This window comes from Homo sapiens, chromosome 12, assembly GCF_000001405.40.
Source record: "Homo sapiens chromosome 12, GRCh38.p14 Primary Assembly".
NCBI classification, from domain to species: domain Eukaryota; kingdom Metazoa; phylum Chordata; class Mammalia; order Primates; family Hominidae; genus Homo; species Homo sapiens.
The window spans coordinates 47414771-47421508 of NC_000012.12; the positions used below are offsets into that span (position 1 = coordinate 47414771).

Here is a 6738-nt window from a genome sequence, read left to right on the forward strand (position 1 = left end):
AGTTACAAATGAAGACTGAGGGGGTGGAGTAGCTATGGAAACCAGGAGGGAAGGATTTTTTTTTTTAATGCAAATGAATTAGAACAAAATGACTGGCATCCCTTTTTCTTTTTCCATCTGTGACAAAAGTTCTGTGTCCTGGTTTCTACCTTCACTTGGAGTAAATTATGGGGGAAAGAACATCATGAAGACCTGCTATTGTCAGAGTGTCATTTCCTCTTTCTATCTTTCTGTGGATTAATTTTAAATCCATTTGATAGAATTAATCATATAAGCCAGTCTCATTTCCCTGCAAATGTCTGCCTTCGTGCAGGTGATTCTGTAGAAAGGAGTTTCTCCAATAAAGCAGAGCTTCTCTTTCAACTCCATGGACATCAGAGAGAGTCCCTTTCAAAAAAGGAGGCTCAGGTCTGGAGAGACAAAGGCCTCTACTTTCGAAAAGGCCTCTTGGATCAAGCCCAGGTATGAGTCGTCAGTACCACGTTTGTCTCTGTGTCACAGCATTTGAGATTTTCATGAGGCTACCTGACCTCAATCTGTTTCCTTTTATATATTAACTCTTTAGGTCCCAATGGGACATACCCATTTTATGAGTTACTGACATTTATAACTTACCTCATTTTAGCATAAACTTTCTGCCTTTTGTTCTTTTGTGGACAACATATTAGCTCTTGGATTCTGAGTTTTTAAATGGTATAATTTTTGTTTGGCTCCAGGCAACAGTAGTTCTACTTTGTGTCTGAGCCTCCCGTCATCATCTGTCACTCTGTGCCCACTTGTTCTATTAAAGTATCATCAGGAAGGCACACAATTGATCCAGGGTAAAAAATTCTGCTCCAACAGTGAATGAATCATTCAATGTTGTGTGTCCACTGGGAGAAAAAAAAACTCCACGCAGCATATTCATTTTCACAATTTTTATGTACTACCATGAAGTACATAAAAATTACTGTAGGAATTTTATTTTATTTTATTTATTTTTTTTGAGATGGAGTCTCGCTCTTTAGCCCAGGCCGGACTGCAGTGGCGCTATCTCGGCTCACTGCAAGCTCCGCCTCCCGGGTTCACGCCATTCTCCTGCCTCAGCCTCCTGAGTAGCTGGAACTACAGGCACCCGCCACCGCGCCTGGCTAATTTTTTTTGTATTTTTAGTAGAGACGGGGTTTCACCGTCTTAGCCAAGATGGTCTCGATCTCCTGACCTCGTGATCCGCCCGCCTCGGCCTCCCAAAGTGCTGGGATTACAGGCGTGAGCCACCGAGCCCGGCCTATTGTAGGAATTATTACACTCACTTTGTTTCACTCTGCTCTACCTTCTAAATCTGAACATGTCCTGTTCTATTGATACTTTCTCCTGTCAATAGTCATGCTAGTGATGGAAGAACCTTGGCCAATATGATTAGAGTCTGAAAGATTCTCCTGGGTGATGTAAAACGAGCTCATAGGCAGAGGGGAGAACTTCCTTCTGTAACACACAGGCTGGCTTCTGACTCACCTACAAAAAAAGAAAAAAAGAGAGCTACTTGGTTCCACTGTCTCTTTGGATCTCATGAGTTGAAAGCTGAGGCTGTACTCCCCAACAAACATGAGTATTTCAGTTCTAAGTAGGTGACTGGAGAAAGATGAAATCCACTCAATTTGAAGAACATTTAAAAAATATGTTTTCATGCTTTGGAAAAGTTTCAGTGTGTCAGGTAAAATACTTGAAACTAAAAATTGTTGTAGATTTTGTACTATCGTTGGCCTGGAAGAGCAGTTCACATTTAATTAACGTTCTAAGGTAACACTGTGGCATAGTTATAGGACTGCAAGTAACAATTCACAAAATGAATTAATCATTGGATCCTGCTATGTTCTGAATGTTTGTGCTCCACAAAACTCATGTGTTGAAATCCGATGCCCCAAGGTGATGGTATTAGGAGGCGGGGCCTTTTAGAGGCAACCAGATCATGAGGGCAGAGCTAATGGCACTAATGGGATGAGTGTCCTTATAAAAGAGACCCCAGGCTGGGCACGGTGGCTCATGCCTGTAATCCCAGCACTTTGGGAGGCCAAGGCAGGTGGATCACGAGGTCAGGAGTTCGAGACCAGGGTGGCCAACATAGTGAAACCCTGTCTCTACTAAAAATACAAAAAATTAGCCGGACGTGGTGGTGTGCACTTGTAATCCCAGCTACTGGGGAAGCTGAGGCAGGAGAATTGCTTGAACCTGGGCGGCGGAGGTTGCAGTGAGCCAAGATCATGCCATTGCACTCCCGCCAGGTCGACAGTGCGAGACTCCGTCTCAAAAAAAAATTAATAAATAAAAATAAAAAAATAAAAAGAGACCCCAGAGAGACCCTCGCCCCCTCTACCACGGGAGGACACAGCAAGAAGATGCCATCTATACGCCAGAAAGTGGTCTCTCTCCAGACAGCAAATCTGTCTTGATCTTAGACTTGCCAGCCTTCAGAAATGTGAGAAAGAAATCTCTGTTGTTTATGAGCCACCCACTCAGTTTATAGATTTTGTTATGCAGTGTGAACAGGTTAAGACAGATCCCTCAATCTTTTATTCAAGAGCAACAGGGACAGTGGCCATGACTACAGATGGGAGTCAAATATATCTGGGCTTTATGCAAGCTTAAACATGCACTAGATAATTGACACTGGACGAGTTACCCCACTGTTCTTGTTCTCAACTTTATAATCCTGGGAACGAAGATGGTAATAATATCTATTTCGCTGGGGTATCATATACAATAGTGCCCGGTACACTGGGGTGTTACATAAATCAGTGCTCAACAGTGGCTGTTATTTTGCTCTAGGATATTACTGAAGCATATAAAGCCTTATCTTTCCGACAGACTCCAGGCAGTCAAATGCCCTCTGCAATGTTTCCTCAAATTCCTAGAGGATGTAATTTTCATGCCCCTGGTTTAGACAGAGGCTATCTTTCTTACACTCCTTAGAAGATAATATATTTCAAAATAAAGAAAGGTCTGAAAGATCTCATTGCTACTAAATACAGAATACTGCATTATCCATAATATTGAACTTAAATTTGCCTTTGTGCTTTTAAAATCTACTTTTAAAATTCTTATACTATATCCAATTGTTGACATTTCCAGGTCTCTATTTTGTGGAGTTAGGACAGCATTAAATACAAAATGAAGAAAATGAAGGACAGATCTCTAGTGCATATACCAGCTTTACAGTTTTCTAAATGCAGTGCCACAAAATGTGCCACTGATGTCACAAGAGCTTGTAAGCCAGCTGGGGACCCAGACACATCAGAGGTGACATCTCAAGGCAGGGGGAGGGTACCAGAGGCAGCCATGGCAGAGCATGGGAAGAATCCCTTGGGGAGCCATGTCCAGTCTTGCAGATGCTAATTAATCTTGTCATCATGTTGTGCCATTCCTCCTCCTTGGTAGCTCTGTCGGAGCATTCTGAACAATCACAGTAAGAGAAATGCAATGACAGCCATGCTTCATCTCCAGCTGTTTCCTGAGAAGATGACAGGTATTCATGAAGCATTCCTCACAGTCCTGATGAGACTGAGGAGCAGAGTCCACTCCTCAAAAGATCCTGGAGTGTTGACATGTTCTGATGGTGTCAGTGATCTGCCAGGATTTGGGTATTTTATCCAGTGATGGATTAGAGGGCATGAAGCTGTGGGTTTTGGAGCTGGACTCACCATTTTTAGGGCTCAAGGGTGTTATACTCTAAGACTAAAACTCACTGAGGGTAAGCACCTCCCTCCATGTTTTAAATTTCTTCCTACACCTGCATAAGACCAGTCTCTGTGTCCTGCATATAGTAGGTGCTCATTATATTTACTATTGATTATATTTACCAAAATATCTTATGGATTCCTAATTATTTAATTTCATGGAGTCTTTACATTATCCATGGAACCACGTCCCTCTTGAATCTCATCTTATCCATCAGGACCTCTCTGACTGTCCCAGTTCATAGTAAGCTTCTCTTCCTCTGAATGTACCATCCTTCTGACACTAAAGAGAACATGCCCACAATGCTGGGCGTGGTGGCTCATGCCTGTAATCCCAGCACTTTGGGAGGCCGAGGCGGGCGGATCACGAGGTCAGGAGATTGAGACCATCCTAGCTAACACGGTGAAACCCCGTCTCTACTAAAAATACAAAAATTAGCCGGGCATGTTGGCGGGCGCCTGTAGTCCCAGCTACTTGGGAGGCTGAGGCAGGAGAATGGCGTGAACCCAGGAAGCGGAGCTGGCAGTGAGCTGAGATCGCGCCACTGCACTCCAGCCTGGGTGACAGAGTGAGACTCCATCTCAAAAAAAAAAAAAAAAGCATGCCCACAACTTGCAAAGTACCTCTCTTACAACGGAGTAAGTGTGCCACATGATTACATGGGGTTGTATTGGTTTATTTCCTTCATTTTCTGTTTTCAAACTGTGCTCTTTAGGGATCTGAGAGAAGGAAAACAGGCTTAGTGCCAACTCACACGACTCTTAAAGGCAGCTCTCTTTACACAGAGATGTTGCCAAAGTTTTAAGTTTATTGCATAAAAGGACCCAAGGCGCTTTGTCGGCCTCAATTTCTGCCTGAGGAATGGTAGTGGGTAGGGGTGTTCATGTTTATGTTTCCCTGGTCTTCCAGTTACCCCATTACAAGTCAGCTGTCCCCTGTCATTTGAGATACTGACTTACAGTGATGTCACAGTCAAGGACACAACAAGTAGCTAGGATGGACCTAAGGGTCTCTGGTATGCCTACAATGCCAGGCATTCGTGAGGTTTGTTTTGGGGTCAACATCTAGCTCAAGATTCATATGTATATTTTAATGAGGACTTTGCTTCCTTTTTTTCACACCTTTCTCCCTTCACTAAGCTGGGTGCTGGATGTTAGTAATACTAAGAGACATGAGACATTATCTCCCCCTTCAGATCATGACTCAGTGGAAGATTTAGATACATAAACAGAAAGTGACACATTGGAGTATGCACTATGAACTATGAGAGCACAAATGAGAAACATGTTTTGTAAGAAATGCATAGAGGGAGAACTACATGGATATGAGATATTTAAGCTGGACCCTCAAAGATGACAAACACATCACTAAGTCTTGATGATCTTAGCTCCTAAATACGTCTCTAATCTCTCTGCTTTTTTCCATCTCTGCTGCTAGACCCTCATCAGAGCTGACAACATGTCCAGCCTGCACTACTGCAAGAACTTCTTTGTCTATGGTAGTGTGGTCAACTGAAGAAGCCGGCTTAGTTGCTCCAGTCAGGTGCTCACACTAAGAAAGGATGGGTGAAGGTTATAAAGTGGCTGTGAATGAGAACTCGGTCTGGGCTCTACCAAGCAGAGAAGCCATGCAGAGATGAGAAAGGTGAAAGCCATGAAACCATGTTAAGCAGAAAAATAAAAATTCAAAACAGAATGGGTGTAGCATTATATAGTGTTCTGTGGAGTACCATGATCCTTCTTCATGAAACAACTTCAAGGCAGACATCTGGTGGTTTTTTCCATTGCCCCCAAGGCAGAGAGTAACAGAAAGGATGGAGATGTGCAAAGAAGAAGTAAAAAGATGGAATCAGAAGTAGAAGAGAAGAGAACAAAAAGAGGAAACAGGGAATAGAAGAGGTCTTCCCACCCCACCACCATCAGCCCTGTCAAAAGTAACCTCACAGGCATTTACCTCAACTGGGACTCCCTTAGAAATGGTAGAAAATTTAGTTCTCTATGTTATACAAAAACAGTCTTCTGCATTGGCCTTTCATAGTGCCTAAAAACACTTTTTTGCTTATTGAAAAAAAGTAATTTTATAATATTATTAAATAATATTAATTTGCATTTTAATGCAAATACCCGTAGGAGAGGTAAATCATAGAAGCTAATATTTTGACATTTTGTGGACATTTATAGATAGCTAATAATGGTCCATACCTCAAAATGAAAAAAGGGCAGGTGCGTGTGTGTGTGTGTGTGTCAGTGGGGGTGACAAAAACTCTTGAGAATAAACACCAAAGAAGAAGGTATAAAGTGGGAGAATAGCAAAAATGAGGTGAAGCATCTCAACTGGGAGACCTGGAATGCAGAGAGACAGCTGACTCCCATCATCCAGGCCACGAACATTTTCATTGCGACCTTGTCAGTCACCTTCTATCTGCTATTATTATATCCACTCCTGCCCCTCTAAATCATTCTCCACACAGCAAACCAGAGCTTCAAAATACATAAAGCAAAAACTGTTAGAACTGAAAGGAGAAATAGACATATCTGCAATTATAGTTGGAGGCATCAATAGCCTCTTTAAACAATTGATGGAGCAACTAGACAGAAAATCAGCAAGGATATAGAAGAACCTAGCAACACCATCAAATAACAGGAATGAATTGACACTTACAGAACACTCCAACCAATAACAGAAGAATACACAGGCCAGGCGCGGTGGCTCACTCCTGTAATCCCAACTCTTTGGGAGGACGAGGCAGGTGGGTCACCTGAGGTAATGAGTTCAAGACTAGCCTGGCCAACGTGGCAAAACCCTGTCTCTACTAAAAATACAAAAATTAGTCAGGCATGGTGGTGCATGCCTGTAATCCCAGCTACTTGGGAGGTTGAGGCATGAGAATTGCTTGGACCCAGGAGGCAGATGTTGTAGTGAGGTGAGATTGTGCCACTGCACTCCAGCCTTGGTGACAGAGTAAGATTCTCTTAAAAAAAAAAAAAGAAGAAGAATACACAGAAGAGATAAATATGTATACAT

The 6738-nt window shown here is 42.5% G+C and overlaps 1 long non-coding RNA gene across 1 annotated transcript; it reads left to right on the forward strand.

Annotated features, from left to right (window-relative positions):
• The first annotated feature begins 237 nt into the window (after positions 1 to 237).
• LINC02156 (long intergenic non-protein coding RNA 2156) lies at positions 238 to 5409 on the forward strand. The gene is made up of 2 exons (NR_149087.1): positions 238 to 462; positions 5152 to 5409. It is a non-coding gene; the product is annotated as a long intergenic non-protein coding RNA 2156 (long non-coding RNA).
• The last annotated feature ends 1329 nt before the right edge of the window (positions 5410 to 6738 follow it).